Source organism: Homo sapiens, chromosome 11 (genome assembly GCF_000001405.40).
Source record: "Homo sapiens chromosome 11, GRCh38.p14 Primary Assembly".
In the NCBI taxonomy this organism is placed as follows: Eukaryota; Metazoa; Chordata; class Mammalia; order Primates; family Hominidae; genus Homo; species Homo sapiens.
In genome coordinates, this window is record NC_000011.10 from 90,401,023 (window position 1) to 90,422,741 (window position 21,719).

The following is a 21,719-nucleotide window of genomic DNA, read 5'->3' on the forward strand; positions in this document are numbered from 1 at the left end:
TGTTCACTCTGATGGTAGTTTCTTTTGCTGTGCAGAAGCTCTTTAGTTTAATTAGATCCCATTTGTCAATTTTGGCTTTTGTTGCCATTGCTTTTGGTGTTTTGGACATGAAGTCCTTGCCCATGCCTATGTCCTGAATGGTAATGCCTAGGTTTTCTTCTAGGGTTTTTATGGTTTTAGGTCTAACGTTTAAATCTTTAATCCATCTTGAATTGATTTTTGTATAAGGTGTAAGGAAGGGATCCAGTTTCAGCTTTCTACATATGGCTAGCCAGTTTTCCCAGCACCATTTATTAAATAGGGAATCCTTTCCCCATTGCTTGTTTTTCTCAGGTTTGTCAAAGATCAGATAGTTGTAGATATGCGGCATTATTTCTGAGGGCTCTGTTCTGTTCCATTGATCTATATCTCTGTTTTGGTACCAGTACCATGCTGTTTTGGTTACTGTAGCCTTGTAGTATAGTTTGAAGTCAGGTAGTGTGATGCCTCCAGCTTTGTTCTTTTGGCTTAGGATTGACTTGGCGATGCGGGCTCTTTTTTGGTTCCATATGAACTTTAAAGTAGTTTTTTCCAATTCTGTGAAGAAAGTCATTGGTAGCTTGATGGGGATGGCATTGAATCTGTAAATTACCTTGGGCAGTATGGCCATTTTCACGATATTGATTCTTCCTACCCATGAGCATGGAATGTTCTTCCATTTGTTTGTGTCCTCTTTTATTTCCTTGAGCAGTGGTTTGTAGTTCTCCTTGAAGAGGTCCTTCACATCCCTTGTAAGTTGGATTCCTAGGTATTTTATTCTCTTTGAAACAATTGTGAATGGGAATTCACTCATGATTTGGCTCTCTGTTTGTCTGTTGTTGGTGTATAAGAATGCTTGTGATTTTTGTACATTGATTTTGTATCCTGAGACTTTGCTGAAGTTGCTTATCAGCTTAAGGAGATTTTGGGCTGAGACGATGGGGTTTTCTAGATAAACAATCATGTCGTCTGCAAACAGGGACAATTTGACTTCCTCTTTTCCTAATTGAATACCCTTTATTTCCTTCTCCTGCCTGATTGCCCTGGCCAGAACTTCCAACACTGTGTTGAATAGGAGCGGTGAGAGAGGGCATCCCTGTCTTGTGCCAGTTTTCAAAGGGAATGCTTCCAGTTTTTGCCCATTCAGTATGATATTGGCTGTGGGTTTGTCATAGATAGCTCTTATTATTTTGAAATACGTCCCATCAATACCTAATTTATTGAGAGTTTTTAGCATGAAGGGTTGCTGAATTTTGTCAAAGGCTTTTTCTGCATCTATTGAGATAATCATGTGGTTTTTGTCTTTGGCTCTGTTTATATGCTGGATTACATTTATTGATTTGCGTATATTGAACCAGCCTTGCATCCCAGGGATGAAGCCCACTTGATTATGGTGGATAAGCTTTTTGATGTGCTGCTGGATTCGGTTTGCCAGTATTTTATTGAGGATTTTTGCATCAATGTTCATCAAGGATATTGGTCTGAAATTCTCTTTTTTGGTTGTGTCTCTGCCCGACTTTGGTATCAGAATGATGCTGGCCTCATAAAATGAGTTAGGGAGGATTCCCTCTTTTTCTATTGATTGGAATAGTTTCAGAAGGAATGGTACCAGTTCCTCCTTGTACCTCTTGTAGAATTCGGCTGTGAATCCATCTGGTCCTGGACTCTTTTTGGTTGGTAAACTATTGATTATTGCCACAATTTCAGAGCCTGTTATTGGTCTATTCAGAGATTCAACTTCTTCCTGGTTTAGTCTTGGGAGAGTGTATGTGTCGAGGAATGTATCCATTTCTTCTAGATTTTCTAGTTTATTTGCGTAGAGGTGTTTGTAGTATTCTCTGATGGTAGTTTGTATTTCTGTGGGATCGGTGGTGATATCCCCTTTATCATTTTTTATTGTGTCTATTTGATTCTTCTCTCTTTTTTTCTTTATTAGTCTTGCTAGCGGTCTATCAATTTTGTTGATCCTTTCAAAAAACCAGCTCCTGGATTCATTGATTTTTTGAAGGGTTTTTTGTGTCTCTATTTCCTTCAGTTCTGCTCTGATTTTAGTTATTTCTTGCCTTCTGCTAGCTTTTGAATGTGTTTGCTCTTGCTTTTCTAGTTCTTTTAATTGTGATGTTAGGGTGTCAATTTTGGATCTTTCCTGCTTTCTCTTGTAGGCATTTAGTGCTATAAATTTCCCTCTACACACTGCTTTGAATGCGTCCCAGAGATTCTGGTATGTGGTGTCTTTGTTCTCGTTGGTTTCAAAGAACATCTTTATTTCTGCCTTCATTTCGTTACGTACCCAGTAGTCATTCAGGAGCAGGTTGATCAGTTTCCATGTAGTTGAGCGGCTTTGAGTGAGATTCTTAATCCTGAGTTCTAGTTTGATTGCACTGTGGTCTGAGAGATAGTTTGTTATAATTTCTGTTCTTTTACATTTGCTGAGGAGAGCTTTACTTCCAACTATGTGGTCAATTTTGGAATAGGTGTGGTGTGGTGCTGAAAAAAATGTATATTCTGTTGATTTGGGGTGGAGAGTTCTGTAGATGTCTATTAGGTCTGCTTGGTGCAGAGCTGAGTTCAATTCCTGGGTATCCTTGTTGACTTTCTGTCTCGTTGATCTGTCTAATGTTGACAGTGGGGTGTTAAAGTCTCCCATTATTAATGTGTGGGAGTCTAAGTCTCTTTGTAGGTCACTCAGGATTTGCTTTATGAATCTGGGTGCTCCTGTATTGGGTGCATAAATATTTAGGATAGTTAGCTCCTCTTGTTGAATTGATCCCTTTACCATTATGTAATGGCCTTCTTTGTCTCTTTTGATCTTTGTTGGTTTAAAGTCTGTTTTATCAGAGACTAGGATTGCAACCCCTGCCTTTTTTTGTTTTCCATTTGCTTGGTAGATCTTCCTCCATCCTTTTATTTTGAGCCTATGTGTGTCTCTGCACGTGAGATGGGTTTCCTGAATACAGCACACTGATGAGTCTTGAGTCTTTATCCAACTTGCCAGTCTGTGTCTTTTAATTGCAGAATTTAGTCCATGTATATTTAAAGTTAATATTGTTATGTGTGAATTTGATCCTGTCATTATGATGTTAGCTGGTGATTTTGCTCATTAGTTGATGCAGTTTCTTCCTAGTCTCAATGGTCTTTACATTTTGGCATGATTTTGCAGCGGCTGGTACCGGTTGTTCCTTTCCATGTTTAGCGCTTCCTTCAGGAGCTCTTTTAGGGCAGGCCTGGTGGTGACAAAATCTCTCAGCATTTGCTTGTCTATAAAGTATTTTATTTCTCCTTCACTTATGAAGCTTAGTTTGGCTGGATATGAAATTCTGGGTTGAAAATTCTTTTCTTTAAGAATGATGAATATTGGCCCCCACTCTCTTCTGGCTTGTAGGGTTTCTGCTGAGAGATCCGCTGTTAGTCTGATGGGCTTTCCTTTGAGGGTAACCCGACCTTTCTCTCTGGCTGCCCTTAACATTTTTTCCTTCATTTCAACTTTGGTGAATCTGACAATTATGTGTCTTGGAGTTGCTCTTCTCGAGGAGTATCTTTGTGGCGTTCTCTGTATTTCCTGAATCTGAATGTTGGCCTGCCTTGCTAGATTGGGGAAGTTCTCCTGGATAATATCCTGCAGAGTGTTTTCCAACTTGGTTCCATTCTCCACATCACTTTCAGGTACACCAATCAGACGTAGATTTGGTCTTTTCACATAGTCCCATATTTCTTGGAGGCTCTGCTCATTTCTTTTTATTCTTTTTTCTCTAAACTTCCCTTCTCGCTTCATTTCATTCATTTCATCTTCCATTGCTGATACCCTTTCTTCCAGTTGATCGCATCGGCTCCTGAGGCTTCTGCATTCTTCACGTAGTTCTCGAGCCTTGGTTTTCAGCTCCATCAGCTCCTTTAAGCACTTCTCTGTATTGGTTATTCTAGTTATACATTCTTCTAAATTTTTTTCAAAGTTTTCAACTTCTTTGCCTTTGGTTTGAATGTCCTCCCGTAGCTCAGAGTAATTTGATCGTCTGAAGCCTTCTTCTCTCAGCTCGTCAAAATCATTCTCCATCCAGCTTTGTTCTGTTGCTGGTGAGGAACTGCGTTCCTTTGGAGGAGGAGAGGCGCTCTGCGTTTTAGAGTTTCCAGTTTTTCTGTTCTGTTTTTTCCCCATCTTTGTGGTTTTATCTACTTTTGGTCTTTGATGATGGTGATGTACAGATGGGTTTTCGGTGTAGATGTCCTTTCTGGTTGTTAGTTTTCCTTCTAACAGACAGGACCCTCAGCTGCAGGTCTGTTGGAATACCCTGCCGTGTGAGGTGTCAGTGTGCCCCTGCTGGGGGGTGCCTCCCAGTTAGGCTGCTCGGGGGTCAGGGGTCAGGGACCCACTTGAGGAGGCAGTCTGCCCGTTCTCAGATCTCCAGCTGCATGCTGGGAGAACCACTGCTCTCTTCAAAGCTGTCAGACAGGGACACTTAAGTCTGCAGAGGTTACTGCTGTCTTTTTGTTTGTCTGTGCCCTGCCCCCAGAGGTGGAGCCTACAGAGGCAGGCAGGCCTCCTTGAGCTGTGGTGGGCTCCACCCAGTTCGAGCTTCCCGGCTGCTTTGTTTACCTAAGCAAGCCTGGGCAATGGCGGGTGCCCCTCCCCCAGCCTCATTGCCGCCTTGCAGTTTGATCTCAGACTGCTGTGCTAGCAATCAGCGAGATTCCGTGGGCGTAGGACCCTCTGAGCCAGGTGTGGGATATAGTCTCGTGGTGTGCCGTTTCTTAAGCCGGTCTGAAAAGCGCAATATTCAGGTGGGAGTGACCCGATTTTCCAGGTGCGTCCGTCACCCCTTTCTTTGACTGGGAAAGGGAACTCCCTGACCCCTTGCGCTTCCCAGGTGAGGCAATGCCTCGCCCTGCTTCGGCTTGCGCACGGTGCGCACACACACTGGCCTGCGCCCACTGTCTGGCACTCCCTAGTGAGATGAACCCGGTACCTCAGATGGAAATGCAGAAATCACCCGTCTTCTGCGTCGCTCACGCTGGGAGCTGTAGACCGGAGCTGTTCCTATTCGGCCATCTTGGCTCCTCCTCTAGGTTTTATTTCTAATAAATGCATTTAAATTTCAATTATCTAAATATAAAAAGTTCAAAATACAAAATAAAACCATATAGGCAATTGAACAATATTGAACAATGAGAACACATGGACACAGGAAGGGGAACATCACACACCAGGGCCTGTTGTGGGGTGGGGGGAGGGGGTAGGGATAGCATTAGGAGATATACCTAATGCTAAATGATGAGTTAATGGGTGCAGCACACCAACATGGCACATGTATACATATGTAACAAACCTGCACGTTGTGCATATATACCCTAAAACTTAAAGTATAATAATAAAATTTTAAAAAAAGTATAAATATAGCATTTAAAAAAAAATGGGCACAGTATAATATAACTGATTTAACCAATATGAAAGAAAATCTTAAAGGAAGTTACAAAAAAAGGAAAGGTTACTTTCAAAAGAGCAACAATTACATTAATAGCTTCTCAATAAAGCAAGGAGGCCAGAAGACAATAGAATTATCTTTTTTAGATAGCCAAAGAAAAATAATTGCAAATGTAGAATTCTATATCCAGTAAAATTGTTCTCAAGAATGAAGTATCAAACAGAAATTGAGAGAATTTATCACTGGTGGCACTGCAATAGTGGTTTCTTTAAAAAGAAGGAAAATGATCCCAGATGAAGATCAGAATGCAGGAAGGAATAAACAATGAAAAGGTTAAATATGTCATTAAGTCTAAGTGATTGTTCACTGAGTAAGTATTTAGGGCAAGTTTAAAATACATGAAGAATCAAAACAGATAGCAAGGATAGTTTCTAAGTTAGAGTGGGATAAATGTAATTGTTGAAGAGGAAGGTAAATTAATATTCAACTCTGACAAATAAAAGATACGTGTAAAGCAGGGATGAGGAAACTAAATTCAGCCCATGGCTTGTTTTTGTACAGCCCGCAAATAATTTTTATATTTTAAGTGGTTATAAAAATTTAGAATAAAGAATCTGAGAGCATGTAATTAAGCCAGAAATCAATTATTAAAAAGAAAACTAAAACATAATTCAAAATCCCCAGTATTTTGAAATTGTAATAAACTGCTAAAACCCAAGGTTAAAAAAACCGCAATGAAAATGAAACAGTAAGAAAAAATAATGATTGAAACAGAGTGATTTTCAGGATAAATTATTAAGTGAAAAAAGAAAATATAAGAAAACAGGAAGAATGAGGAAATATACACATATTTATTCATTTGTGCAAAAAGAAACACAGGAACGATAAATCTAAAACTAATGGAGGTATGTGGAAATGAGGTGAAAGGCTGGAGGAACAGGAAAGGGAGGATCACTCACTTCTCTGAGTGAAATTTCTGTACAGTTTTGACTAAGCCAATTTATGCCTTTAAAAATATGAAATCAACATTGCAAAGAGAAACAAATGAATCAGAATGTATTTCAAGGGTATAATTTAGTCACCCCTGTAAAGGATGAAGGCAAGAACTTCCTCAAGTGACTAGAACTATTATGTTAATGATATACCATTAAGCTAAAGATTAGTCAAACTATAAACCATTTAAACTTATGAGTAGGTTTCTTTTTTCATAAGGTATGGGTTAGCACTTCTGGAGTTCAATGAGTATTCCAAGATTGAGCAAATGAGAAAATATTTTTGGATAGTGGGAGCCAGATTTTTCAATGTCAAGTAGGGAATTGCAAAGATGGAAAGGGGGAATACTTGAATGAACCTTGCAATATGTGATTGAAATTTGAGGTATTAGTATAAACTCATGCTTAAACAGATAGAATGATAGATATATAGATGATAGATAGATAGATAGATAGATAGATAGATATTTAGATAAAGATAGAAAACACTAGATTTTGAATTCTGAGTCACATCCTCCACTATCAGGTATCCAGGCCCATTTAAAATATGGCTGATTCCACAGCTGGACCTGGGAGAGTGCATAATAAACCTAGAACATCCTGCTCTACCAAAAATGTAAGGAAGTGTTAAAAAAAAATATGGGGGCAAGCAGAGAAGCCAGTTTGGAAGGACTACTATGGAGCAAATCTGGGTCAATTTGAGCATCAAAATAAATAATTATATTAGTGAATTATAACTTATAGATTGACATTAAAATTTATGAGTACACACTGATAAAAATAAATGAATAAATTATATGTAGAGAAAGGAAATCTTTTATGGTGGGATGCCAATTATTAATTTGCAGAAGTAATGGGATTTAAAAAGGCACCATTTGGCAACCACAATTGTAATCACTGACAAGTGGCTGCTAAAACTAGAAAGTGAAAATTTGATAAGAAACGGTATATTTATGTAGTTTCCAAAGCACCTCCAACAAGATGCATATTAATTAAAATAGAAAAATAATACTCTTCCAATGGGGAAGCTTGGCAGATACCACCAGGACAAAGTGATCAAAGTTAGCACTACCAGCCATGAGACGAATAGATACCGTGTGCCTCCTGATATGTTGCAGTGAGGATCCAGCATCACTTCTATGGTTGACATTCCTGCTGAAACTGCGTTAGGTAAATCTGATCATGTGAAACAACAGACACACCAAAATTGGGTGTCATTATATGAATTAAGTGTATATACGCTTCAAAAATATCGTGTTCATGAAAGACAAAGACTAAAGGACATTTTCAGTTTAAAGGAGCTATAATAAATAAAAGCTATTTTAATTGGATTTTTATTTTTGCTATAAAGAAAATGAGAGTGATAATTGCCAAAATTTGAATATGATCTATAGACTATATAATTGTTTTGTATCAATAACACTGTATTGACTTAATAATTTTTCATTAGTTATATAAGAGAATGCCCTTCCTCCAAAGCAAATGTAATAGAATGTTTAACATTGTCACTACATGTGGAGAAAGTGAGTGAAGTATATATAAAACTTATTATTTTTAAAAAATCTTTAGATACAAGGTTGTTTCAAAATAAAAAGTTAAAAAAAATTTTTTTACCTAATATATCACACTCTGTTAGCATTCCAGCCTAAACCAGGGCATCCCCTTCTATGCTCTGATGGGTACTTACTGGGAACACCTGTAGTTCCTTCACTGAGGACCTCTGTCTGACTTCAGGGGCACTATGGGCCATCTGGAAGGAAAGTCAAAAGTGCCTGCAAGGTAATAGTTCTGGAAAATGCCCTCATTAATGACGGATTTGTATATGTGGTAGACAAATACTCTAGATTGTTTGACCCTTGGTTAAGATAAGTGTGAGGTATCTTTTTTCATTACCTTCCATAGTTCACTAGTGGAATTAAGTCCTAGTTGCCCATAGTGGTAACTTGCTTGATAATGTATCCTTTATTTGCTTCCTTCCTTGTCTTAATTCCCTAGACTCTTGGCAGATTTCTGGGATATCTTCCCAAAATAAATTCTTGCACTTGATTCTTTGCTCTGGGGTCTTCTTCTGGGGGAACCAAAGTAAGACAATTAGTAACAATGGTAGCATATGCAGATCATCTATATAGATTATAGAATTTTGGTAATGTGTTAGTGTGGTAAGTACAAGTACTCGTTGTTGATGGTGAATGGGGTAAAAAATAATTTTTGGCATACTATAGGATCAAATTGGGATGGCATATAGGTGAGAGGGAATATACTGGTTTATGCGCTATTACTAGCATTTGACAGATATGGAATAATAATAGTTATTATTATTATTATTTTCAGGCACAGTCTCACTCTGTTGCCCAGGCTGGAGTGCAGTGGCACGTTATCAGCTCACTGCAACCTCCGTCTTCTGGGTTCAAGTAATTCTCATGCCTCAGCCTCCCAAGTAGCTGGGATTACAGCCACCACGCCCAGCTAACTTTTGTATTTTTAGTAGCGACGGGGTCTTCCCATATTGACCAGGATGGTCTTGAATTCCTGACCTCGAGTGATCCACCTGACTCGGCCTCCCAAAGTGCTGGGATTACAGGCGTGAGCCACTGCACCTGGCCAGAACAATAATAATTATAAAGATTGGGGAGTTGATTGGTTGTTGTTAACTGACATTGAACACTGAGGAAATAAAATTATGAAATTAGGACAATGAATTTATTAATTTAGGATACATTCTTGAGGCCTTTAGGGCATCATTTAGAAGAGCCTTGTGTCCTGCAAGTGGAGGGCAGACTATAGTGAATGCTGAAAATCTGATTTTGAGAGTAATGAAGATACATACAAGTTTAAATTAACTCTTAGCAAGACTGTTGTGCTAATTAGGAAAGAAGACACACTCTGAGATAGAGTGGGAATATTTCTGTGGGTATTCTTGATAACTTTGAATCCCTACATTCCATTGAATGATCTGGGATTATACATTACCTGCTTCCCTTTATGACAGGATAGCAGCCCATTGCTAAAGAAAAGCAGATGTTTCTTGATTAGAGAATATACAAAGTCCTTACCTGATTTATTATGTATGGCCAGAGAACTCACCAGGTGACTATATTCTCATAAGATATTCTTTCACTACAGCGATAAGAAATCCCCTAGTGTGGTAGTAGAGGTATCGTTGGGAAGCTTTATGGTAGCTATACCCTGTAGACCAGTATTATCAGTAGGCTTGCTGCTATGCAGTTGTCTTAGTCCATTTAAGTTGCTATAACAAAAAATACCTTAGACTGGGTAATTTATAAACAACAGAAATGTATTTCTCTCAGTTCTGGAGGCTGGGAAGTCCCAGATCAAGGTACCAGCAGATTCAGTTTCTGATGAGAGCCTGTTCTTTATAGATGGAAACTTGTCTGTGTTTTCACATGGTGGAAGGAGAAAATGTGTCCTCATATAGGGGAAAAGGAGTAAGAGGCTGGGATACTTCAATCAACCTCTTTTATATGGCAATTAATTCAATTCATGAGACTGAAGCTCTCATAAAACAATCACTTCCCAAAGGCCCCACCTTTTAATCATATTGCATTGGGGATCAAGTTTTAACACATGAATACTGGGGAGACACCAACATTCAGACCATAGCAAAAGTCACCAGTGAAAAGATCTTAGAATTGTGGCACTAAATTGTGAGAAGCAAGGTAAACATTTGCAGCAAGGCCAGAATGGCATGCATGGGGTCTTGACTCACAGGGTTCTGTGCTAATGGTTAGAAGATGACGGTATTTCCAAGGGTGAGATAAATAGGAGTTCAATAAGGGTATTAGTTGGAGTATACATCCAAAAATAATTAGAGATGAGTAGAAGAATGATGCCAGCCACTATAATAAAAAATTATGATCCTTTGCCTTGTTTCCAAATTTAAGCTATTTCTAAGATGCAGGATGCATGAGTTGAAAGGGAAGGCGGACACCCTTGAAAAAAGCAGTTCCTCTAATTATTCCCTGAAGTGACTATAACTATTTACCAGAGTGTCTGTATCCTGAGGAAAAGAGAATACTCAGATCCTTAGAAAGCTATTGGATACAAAGGCTAAGGTGACGTGGGTAACTGAAATTCCAACACAACATCATGGTCATCCAGTTTGAGTAGGGTTAGTGGTTCTGCATCTCTACCCCTATGATCATTTTCTTGGTCCCCCATTGCAAATTTGCGATTGTAGTTATTTGTCACTTGATGGAGCACTCATATGAACTCCTTGAACTGTGTAGGAAGAATCATAGTGGTAGGAAAACAAGTAGGAGCTCTGAAACTGCACCCTCCCTCACTCCCAAGTCAAGGCTGTAAATCAGAAGACACATAGCAACTTTGGTAAAATGGCAGATGTCACTTCCATCCTCAAAAACAAAAAAGATTCAGTTGTGGTCTACATCATACTTTTGCTTAATTCACCAGGCTAGGTCTTGCAAAAATAAGATAGATGATGGTGAATAGTAATGTGTTGCTGTAAACTTAACCAAGTGATGGCTTTAATCACAGGGCTGAATATGGTATCTCATCAAGAATAGATTAGAATAGACTGTAGCATTTGGTATGTGGGTATTTATCTGCCAAATGCTCTATTTACAATTTCTATCAAGAAAGAGGGTCAAATGCAAAGAGAATAGATGTTAAGTCTTCTCACCACAAAAATGTGAGGTAATGGATTTGTTAATCAGACTTAACCATTTTACAATGTAAATATACTTCAAAACATCATGTTGTACATGATAAATACATATGATTTTATCTTTCAATTAAAAAGGAAAAAGAAAGAGGATTGGAAACAGCTCATATTCAACTGGCAATAATTGTATGACACTAGTCATCATCTTGCTCCAGGGCTATGTTAACTCTCCACCTCTGCGTGGCAACATGCTCTGTAGGACTTGACCATCTGGCCCACTATATACTATGGTGATAACATCAAGTTAAAAGGATTTAGTGGGCAGGAAATTGCAACTATTCTAGATTCACTGGTAAACACCTGTGTGCCAGAGTGGGAAATAAACCCTATAGAAACTCAGAGGGCTTGCTCATTGCTAAAGCTGTTGGGTGTCTGTTAGTCAAGGGCATGGCAAGACATCTCCTTCAAGGTAAATGACACATATTGAACACTGAACCTCCCACCAAAGAGTCTTGATCTCTTTGGATTTTGGAGACAGCATGTAATATCTCTGTATCGCACTTATCAGGTTACCCAGAAAGATGCCAATTTTGAGTGTGGCTTAGTGAGCTTTACAATTGGTGTGAATTATAATACAAGTGGCCTTAACACTTGCGTCATTTGACTTGACCAATCACATGATGCTAGGGGTCATCAAGCCCTAATAGGAGGAATGAGACTGTGAGGAGTGAGAGTTTGATTTTTGCAATGTCTGTGGCCTTTCCATATTTTCTGAGTACTCACTTCTACACTCTGATGGTGTTATACTATGATCACCTGAAACTCTTTCCTGAAGGATTTTTTTTGGCGGGGAGGGGATGGTTTTCAAGAGCAAGATTGACTGATGTACAAGGAAAGCAATAACTTAAAGAGAATATATAATCTGGGAAAGGGCCCTCCATCAGTGACACAAGCAGATAACTGGAGGACAAACACTGTAGCTTTCTGTCTCATCAAGTGGGATAACTGAGAAATATTTCATATTGTGTTTCAGAAAGATTAAGCCCCAGTTTTCCACAATTGTAACCTACTTGATTATACCTTTTATTGACTTCTTTTTTTTTTTTAACCCATCTCACTTTTAGTTCCCTACTAATGTTTCTAGAGATCTCCTCCCAAATAAATTTCTTAGACTTAAAATCTTTGTCTCAAGTTCTGCTTCTGTAGGAACTCAAGCTAAGAGTTACTGGAAAAATCAATCAAAAATGGAAAAGATCTCTAGGCAGAAAACTATACAATGTTCCTAAAAATATAAAAGGAAAACCTATATAAGTGGATGAGAATATTAATTCATCAACTAGAAGACTCAATATTGTAAAGATGTCTATTTTATTAAAACTATTCATAAATTACATGCTATCTTAATTAAAATACAAGATACCATCAAAGTTTGAAGTAGTTAAACTCATTGTACTACATATCAAGACATATGAGAGTGTGGTATTGGCAAAAGAGACAAACTGGTAGAATTAAAATAAAGAGACCAAGAACAGGCACATTCATGTAATTTATGACACAGGTGGCACTGCAAAACAGTAAGAAAAGAATATTGTTTGCCAATTGACTCCCGCCTCATAGCATATATTAAAAATCATATGTATAAATGAACTAATTTTAGGGAAATGTTATATATAAATGCGAAAGACAAAACTCCTGTGATTATATGGGGAAAAATCTTTACATCAATGTACTGCTATCAGAACAATCAAGAGAGTGATTTACCATAAAAGATGGGACAGTCATAACCTCGGGGGGATACAACAAGTAGTGATTGGGATAGAAGATGAGGGAGTTATCTGGAGTGATGGTAAATCTCCATTTCTTGTCCAAGATTGGTAGGTATGTGGACATTCAATTTGTGACAATTACATGTTCTATATATTTTTGCTTGGTAAAATATTTTGTATGTGTTTTATAATCCATACTTTTTTTATTATACTTTCAGTTTTAGGGTACATGTGCACAACGTGCAGGTTTGTTACATATGTATACATGTGCCATGTTGGTGTGCTGCACCCATTAACTCCTCATTTACATTAGGTATATCTCCTAATGCTATCCCTCCCCTCTCCCCTCACCCTGTACTTTTTAAAAAAGAAACAAGACCTTAAAAGAAGGCCATTTTAAGTGTGGCCCCAGCAGCACTCAAAGTACAGATTGTTCAGAAGCAGTCACTAATACTGCATTCTTACCATCTACATTTATTCTGAAGAATGCCCACTTCTGGAAGCAACATGTGCTAAGCCCAAGGGCATATTCTAAGTAAGAGTACAATAAGGCTATGCTTTATTTGTTTTGTCCACAATACACAAATGAACTATTATTTTTTTCATCTTTGGAGAGCCCAGTATTGAGTGCTCAATTTAGCAGGTCTCTTGTGAATGGACTGGGGGGACTTTGAACAAACGGTTCCTCGTGACATATATTCTTTTAGCCAACACAGAAATAAGTGGAACAAGAGCTCTGTGAACTTTTTTTAGGTAGTCTAAAAGCTGTAAATGAAATCCCTGGAGCCAAGGTACATTTAGTTCTGCTGCCTGGCAGTAGAGCTATGTCAGCTGACCTCATAGCTACCATTGTGCAAATTTTAATGACAAATTAAGGAAATTAATTACTTGTGTTGACTAAGTCTACACTACTGACATCATTTCATTGTACTTACATTCCAATCTTGAACTTCTTTATTATACTATAAATGCAAATTAATAATGTAGGCTCTGTTCTTTTAAAATGTGTCATTTTTGCCTGAAGTGTAGATAAAAGCATTTGAAATCCATCAACACTACTTTTAATTAGCCAATTTATTAGAACGGGATTCTGCAAAACAAGGTTTCTTTCTCTGGAGTATACAGGACAGCCTCGGAGCACAATTTATATTTCTGCATTCCCAAGTATATGAATTTACTTTAACAGTTTTGTAATACAAACCAAGTCTGTTAGTTAATTTGCTATGGCACCTGATATTCTGTAGGTCACTAATCTCTTCTAATACATCCATAATTTCTGTTTTACTTTAAATAGTCAATAAAAATGCATAGTGTTTTTGTTCTCTTGATTCATGCATCACACTAATTATTGCATTTCTAAAAATCCCAAACAATACATCATAGTGATAATCAAAGAATAAGAGAAAAGGGTATTATCTATGATACTTTATAATCACAAATTTATATTCATTTATTTTTAGATCCTACCATTTTTGAGTATTTTTATGAAAAGTTAATTGCTTTTCACTTTGTATAGCTTCAATATGTTTCATTGTGGCAACAAGAAATATTTAAAATTAAGATGACCCCCTTCTCTCAAAACGCATTTTTCCAAATGTGTGTAGGTAAATTAACTGTATCTTTATAAGGCACAGATACTCTGTTCATTCATTGGTTCAAAATACTTAAGCTTGTTTAATTTTCTATTAAATATACAAATTTGTTCACATCTATTTTGAATATGGCTATGAGAATTACAATGAAAATGTCGTTACTTTAGGAAGTGATTTTATAATGAATTTATCATATTTCTTTAACAAAATATAAAATAATTTGTATCAGAAGTAACACTTTAGTCAGTGAATCAAAGTTTAAGTATCTCATATACCGAACACAGAGTGCTGTTTACTGGGGACACAAAGTCAGGTAAGCCATGTTCCTTGCCCTTCACTTTCTCACAGCCTAATTGAGAAAACAGGGTTATAAATCAGTGATGACAACCATTTTGAACAAACTTTAAGGTGGCCCTTATGATATTCACATTTTGATGTTCATACCTTCGTATAATCCTCTCTGCTTAAGTGTGGGCAGAATCTGTGGCTTGTTTTTAACCAATAAAATATGGCAAAGATGACAGGTTATGAATCCTTCATGTTATATAAGAATTCTTCTTGCTCCAAGATGTGTTCTTGTTACTGTCATTAAAGGAGGAAACAGCCATGAGTTGTACAGGTACAATAAAAAGAATTATGCCAACCCAATTAAGTGAGCTTGAAGCAGATCCTTTCCCATTCAGCCTGCAGATGAGAAACTAGCCTTTTTAGACACCTTGATTATATCCTTGAGTAAGCACCCAGCTTATCTGTTCCCAGAATTATGATCCACAGAAAATGTTAGGTAAATGTGTGTGGTTTGAAGCTGCTAAGTTTTTGCCAATTTGCTATGTAGCATAAAAAATTTAACAGTTCAGCATTAGCCTCATAAACATACTGTTGTGGGAGTCAGGGTATGTGCACTGAAATTAAAATCTAGGGTTGGAAGGATTTCTGGAGAATGTGACTCTTGAGCTGAAATTAGATGGATATTAGGTAGAAGAAACAGCTACAAGAAAATTTAGTTTGGAGCTGGCTAGAAGAAAGAGAGTTTATAATATTTCTCTTCAATATTTTGGATAGAAGGAATGTTCTTTGTGAAATCACAGAGGCAGGAATTGTGGCATTACTTGTTGAACTGCATATTTTTGTAATATGGCTAAGGTGATGGTGTATATTTTAGTGTAATAAGAAATGAGAGGTATTCAGGGGCCAGAATTTTTAAAGGACTTTTTGTCCTGATAAGATTTCAAGTTTATATGGTGGGAAACCATTAATATAATTTAAACTGGAGAAGATATGATGAGATTTATGTGGAAAATTGATGTAGCTTAGAACATGTAATATACAATGAGTCAAAAGCCAATTCTAGCTTTAAGAACAAAGATTGCAAGAATAAAAAATAACTGGCCCTTCCTCCTTTTCTCCCCTATTGTGTCCTCTAAGTACTATACTTCTGCAAGGACCTCACATGCTTGTATTGAATCTATTTGTTTACCTAGGACTCCAAGAGACTGTGAGTTTCCTTTGGGCATTGACCATGTCTTACTCATTTTGTTTCTCCAGAGGCTAACAGTACCTGGTACATGATTTGTATTACTACAAGATAAATTGTTATTGACCGAATAGACTATTCAGGTATGATTCTGGTGAAGTTGAGAATAAGTTCAGAATAAGAGACAGAAATACAGGGCAAGAATTTCTACTTCAGAAAATATGCCTGAAGCAACCCTGAAATAAATTGTAAAACAGTTGATTTTTTTTCTTTTTATATGACTGTAATAGAATCTGTATGCTATTTTTATAGGCTTTTTAAAAACATTATACCTGAAAAGTGAAAAAGGCAGTAATATCCATTTGGGAATTTATAATCAAATACATTGTATCCAACAAATTTTGGAGTTTATGTTGAGCTATAATTAGAATAGGAAACCAGCATTAGAACAATAATTAGCAATTAGATTTTTTAAATAAAATTTTATTATAGACTTCTGAGAGGTCATTGTAGTGTATTGAGCTTTACCCTACTTTAAGTCACATTAAAACATTCTTAGAAAATCCACACAATAAGCCATCATTCTTCTCTTATTCTCTTTCTTTCCAACTCCACGGCTATAGTCCAGGCACTTTTCCTTTCATATCTATAGTATTGCACTAGCATCCTGTTTAACCTCCTGTTGTCAAAACTAGAATAATATTGTGTAAAGGGAATGGATTTTAAGTCAGACAGAACATTGAAGCCTGGCCCTCTACCTGTTTGTCAAATAGCCCAATTTCTTTAAAAGTCTTTTCTTTATGTAAAACAAAAATAAAAACAAACACAAACAAACAACAACAACAAAACCTCCTAATTGTAAGGATTATTGGAAGAATTAAGTAAGATATACTTTAAATATCTTTAATCACAATAAATCTAATCTCCATATATTATTAATTACTTCTGGTTTCTTACCAATTGAATCGACACAAATAATTTAGGTACATAGAGGTGCCATGGGACAGAGGAACAAATATGACGTATTGAATCTCATTTAAAATCTTGTCTTTATTTCCTAATTGTTGTGTGATTTGAGACCAGTTACTTATTTTTTGACATTAAATTTATTCATCTGTAAAATGCAACTATTCTAGAATTTAAAGAGTTGGAAAATGTGCAAGAAAGGTCCTAATGGTATGCCTGGCACATAGCATCCACTAAATAAATGCTTTGTATGCATCTGTGCCAGAGATTATTCTAAATTTTAGTAAAGATTTAGACATTAAAAACTAGTACATGACTTTAAGGATTTTAAAAACTAAATGAAGAAGCAAGCAGACTATCAGATAGAACTTCCCTATGTTCTTGATTTTGTTGTACCTTTCCTTAAAAATCATCTAACTCTGATTTAGAAAATTTCATGTAGAAGTGGGAACAGCTTTAACAAAAACGACTGGAGAGTAAGCATACTAAAGTGGGCCTCAAACATTGTTTAGGAATAAAGTTGCTTCAATGAACCAACATAAGTAGTCCAGTTAACTATAGCATAGGAGCAGTAAAGCATCATGGGAAAAGCATGATCTTTGGAGACAAGTAGCTTTGGTACAAGATCCAAATCTCAATATCCTGATTATAAAATTATGGACAGTGCTTCTCATTTTGGAGGGTTGTTATAAGAATTAAAAAAATAAGAGGAATCATACCTAACACTACTTAAGTTCTAACTCACTTCTTTCATTCCTTTTCCTCTAAAGAGGAGATGGGTACATCAGTCTATCATAGTTTGATAACAGCTAATAAGATTATTCTAACCCCACTGACTTGAAAATTATTTTGTTACGGTAATAAGAGTTCAAGTTGGAGACTTCCTGAAAGAGAATATCTGCTGGGAAGTTGTTATGAGTGCTTCATTCTTCTTAATATTTATAACCTATTTTTTAAATCTTACTTTTATTTTATATTTTTTCTCTCCTGCTCCTTCTGTATATATCCTTACTGTAATTTAAGATTGACACTCTGTTTTACCAATCTCTTCTTTTGGGTTATGACATTCTACAGCTGATTTTGATGGACTCCGATAATACACCTGAGTTTCTTGATCTTTAAATATCTGAATACAATTTTGGATGGAAACAAATGTATAACCAACATTCAGTGAAGTGTCTAGCATGTACTTAATAACTATTGAAATAATGAATGTTTAAGGTAATACCTGCTTATGATGCCATGCCTAAGAAAGCCAGATAATGATCCTCTTGATATTCATCCATTAATATATTTTGAAAATATTTATTAAGCCTCTGTGATAAACACTCCTATGTACTGAGGAAAGAGGAATAAAACAGACAATAATTCACGCCCTCATGTGTCTAATCTCTGTTATGGAGGAACAGATACTTTAACTGCAGTTAAACCACATAATAGGAACTTTCTTAAAAATAACATTTTCTTGATGTAAAGTTATTATTATATAGACACATCTGCCATTTCCTAGAGATTTAAAAGATGTATTTAATCATGGATGTTTATAGAACAAAAATACAGGAGCATAAGCATTCACTCACTCAACAGATGATTTTTGAGTGCCTACTATATAATGGACACTGAGCTGAGGTACTGAGGAGGCAAGACTTAATAACACATGTATTAATTACTCTCTTGTAGCGTGTAGCCTCATGGGCAAAACTGCAAATATTTACAAAGTTGAGGAAACTAGTACTACTGTCTGCTAAGCTCTCCACATGGAACATGATAAGATGAGAAATTTGAGTCTTTTAGGTTACTATTCTGTTATATTAATTAAAACAGTGTTAAATTATAATAAAAGAATTGTAACATTCATAATATACGGCAATATCTTATTTACAGCTTATTAAGGACATTTTGAAATGTGATAATTCCTTAATATTTGAAAAATAGTTGCATTATGTACTCTGAAACGCTTTTTTTTTTTGGCTGTGGTCCAATCTAAACTCATCAAGAGTCACAAGAAAGCTTTCTTTCATCACCATCATCAGTTTTCAAAAGTTCTAGAAACAAAATTATACACAAGTGTAATTTTAAACTTTTTGACTATAGTAAATTTTAGAACAATTTAACTGTCATGTCAGGAATCATGGATAATATAGAATAAAAAATGAGAACAATGAGATACCATCATTACTGAGTAGAGTCTAAAATTAGCTGATGTACTGAATAAGACATGAATGCACAGTTGCACCTTCCATCTCTCGGGATTGTTTACCAGAATCCAGTTTCAGGTCAGAAATGTTGTTTCATGATAAGTATATCACACTAACATTTTACAGTAACTTTTTAATGTTCTTAAATTGTATTTATTTAGAGGCAGAGTCTCACTCTGTTGCCCAGGCTGGAGTGCAGTGGCACAGTCTTGGCTCACTGCAACCTCCACTTCCCGGGTTCAAATGATTTTCCTGCCTCAGCCTCCCAAGTAGCTGGGACTACAGTGCATGCCACCATGCCCGGCTAATTTTTGTATTTTTAGTAGAGATGGGGTTTCACCACAGTGGCTAGGCTGGTCTCAAAATCCTGACTTCAGGTGATCTACCTGCCTCAACCCCCCAAAGTGCTGGGATTCCAGGTGTGAGCCACCGCAGCTGACCTTACAATAACTATTTTTGAAAAAATGTTTTTATTTTTAATTTTTGTGGGTACATAATAGTTGTATATATTTGTGGAATATATGAGATACTTTGATACAGGCAGGTAAAGTAAAATAAGCACATGGAGAATGGGATATTCATACCCTCAAGAATTTACCCTTGGAGTTACAAAAAATTTACAATTAAGTCATTATTGACAAGAAAGAATGTATAAGACCTACTATTTGATAAGACAACAGGTGACTACAAAAACTTTTTAAGATTTCTTTTTGGCCTATCCCCTTTGAGCCAAAAACAAAGACTGATTCTGAGATTGGATGTTATGTGATGTATAGGAAATAGGCCACTTTTAATCAAGTTCCCTCGACGATTTTTTCTTCAGAGACTAGGACAAGATTTTAAATTCATTTTGAGGAAAGGCTGTTTAATTATTAAAACATAAAATACTTTGAATCAATTTGTATCCTCTTACAAATAAAGTTTTTGTGGGGATTAAATACCAGTTAAACTGTATAAAATCTCGCCCAAAAATAGGCGAGGATGTAAACTAACTCATTACATTTTAAATCAATATACAATCTCAGAGTTGAAATGAGTAATACCCCAACAGGTTTAAAATATAGGTAAGATATGAAGGAAAAATGGAGGTACTCTACATGTTAGACAAGTAATATATTCTCCCATGTTCTGACATTCTGCTCACTCTCTGTAGAGCTGTATTATGAAATTGATCTATATTTCAAATTGTGCTTATCAAGTTGTAGCAATATTTAAACTCCTTATGGATATTGAGAATATAACTAAATATTTTGTCCCTAAACATTTTCAAATCTCTCAAGGTTCATTTCATTAAAAATTTATAGCAACATTTTTCATATTTCCTAATATTTCAAAACCGAAACATTTTTCCTAATTCAAAATAACCTTATTTTTTCCAATAATAAAGTGACATCTCTTAATAATAAGATTAAAATAACACATAAAGTACAAATAAAGATTACTTAGTGTTTTGGTGATTATAGACAAATCCAAATGAATAATTACATAGAAAGTATTATTTATATAAAATTTATACTCATGCTATATTTATTCTGTAACCAGTATTTTCACTCAATAATATGTCAAGGACATCTGTCAATTAATACAGATCTAGATTATAGATGTCTGGTTTATAGGTTGGTTGCAATAATTTATATATGCATTCACCTGTAGATGGACATTTAGATTCCCCACCCCCCCCACCACTTATTTTATTACTATTATGTGTTTCTTTAACAAACATCTAAACACATTTTTTGTACATGTGTCTTATTATTGCCTTAGGATATATTTTAAAAAAGAAATAGTGCTAGTTAGAAAGACATGCAAGTTTAAGTAAATTTTGACATAGGAAGAGTGTTTCCAACATGGCAACCAACAGTGTCTGAAGAATCTTCCTCATACCCATCTTCACTAGGTTTTTAAATAGACTTTAGCGCTCTTTTAGATATCTAAAATCCCATTGGCATTGATGGGGTTCAGAGTATGGCATCTCAAAATATGTCATTTTCGAACAGGGTTATTTTGAGCTGAAGGCAATTGAAAAACAACAGACAGAGGAAAATCTCTCTGTCCTCTCCCTCTCTACATAAATGAAGGGCACAGATTTCCTTTGTAAAGATGATATACATTTTCTTTTGTAAAGGTGTCACCTTCCCATATTAGAAAGACTATAGACAGCACTTGAATTGAGTCTCCATAACAAACCTTACTAAACAAGCCTATCATCCACATGTTTTTCTACTCACCTTCTCTCAATTTATTGCCCTTTGTTAAAATGGCATATATGCCCCAAGTCTGCTTCTTTAGATTTTCACTTTTCTGTGGATGCCCCATGTACATAAAATTAAAAAGTTGAATTTCTTTCCCTCTGATAATCAATCTTTTGCCAGTATAGTCTGCAGGCTTCAGGAACATAACTTATGAGGGTAGAAAAAAATTTTCATCCCCTTCAATGTCAAATCAATTCTTGTTTGTGATGCCACAGAATTGAATGAAGAATGACATTAAAGTTTAAAAAATTTAAAGGGCTTTTGAAATAAAGTTTAATTTTATAGTACCCTATTTATGGTGAAGAATGGCTATCCATAAAGATGTGCTTAGATAGCTATTACTTAGTGTAAGATCTAAAGTTACACTATTGTAGCAGGACGAGCCGCAGGCCAAACCTCTCA

At 36.1% G+C, this 21,719-nt stretch overlaps 1 long non-coding RNA gene across 1 annotated transcript in view, besides 2 other annotated features; it reads left to right on the forward strand.

The window, feature by feature from the left end:
- DISC1FP1 (DISC1 fusion partner 1) overlaps positions 1–21,719 on the forward strand; it is a 663,821-nt gene that overhangs the window by 149,791 nt on the left and 492,311 nt on the right. The gene's annotated exons all lie outside the window — the stretch shown is intronic.
- Positions 4,246–4,826: an enhancer, noted in NCBI's record as "OCT4-NANOG-H3K27ac-H3K4me1 hESC enhancer chr11:90138436-90139016 (GRCh37/hg19 assembly coordinates)". NCBI's record gives its function as "activates a minimal SCP1, AML or CMV promoter by ChIP-STARR-seq in primed H9 embryonic stem cells {active_cell/tissue: H9 hESC(primed)}" and the evidence as "EXISTENCE:reporter gene assay evidence [ECO:0000049][PMID:30033119]".
- Positions 4,827–5,405: an enhancer, noted in NCBI's record as "H3K27ac-H3K4me1 hESC enhancer chr11:90139017-90139595 (GRCh37/hg19 assembly coordinates)". NCBI's record gives its function as "activates a minimal SCP1, AML or CMV promoter by ChIP-STARR-seq in primed H9 embryonic stem cells {active_cell/tissue: H9 hESC(primed)}" and the evidence as "EXISTENCE:reporter gene assay evidence [ECO:0000049][PMID:30033119]".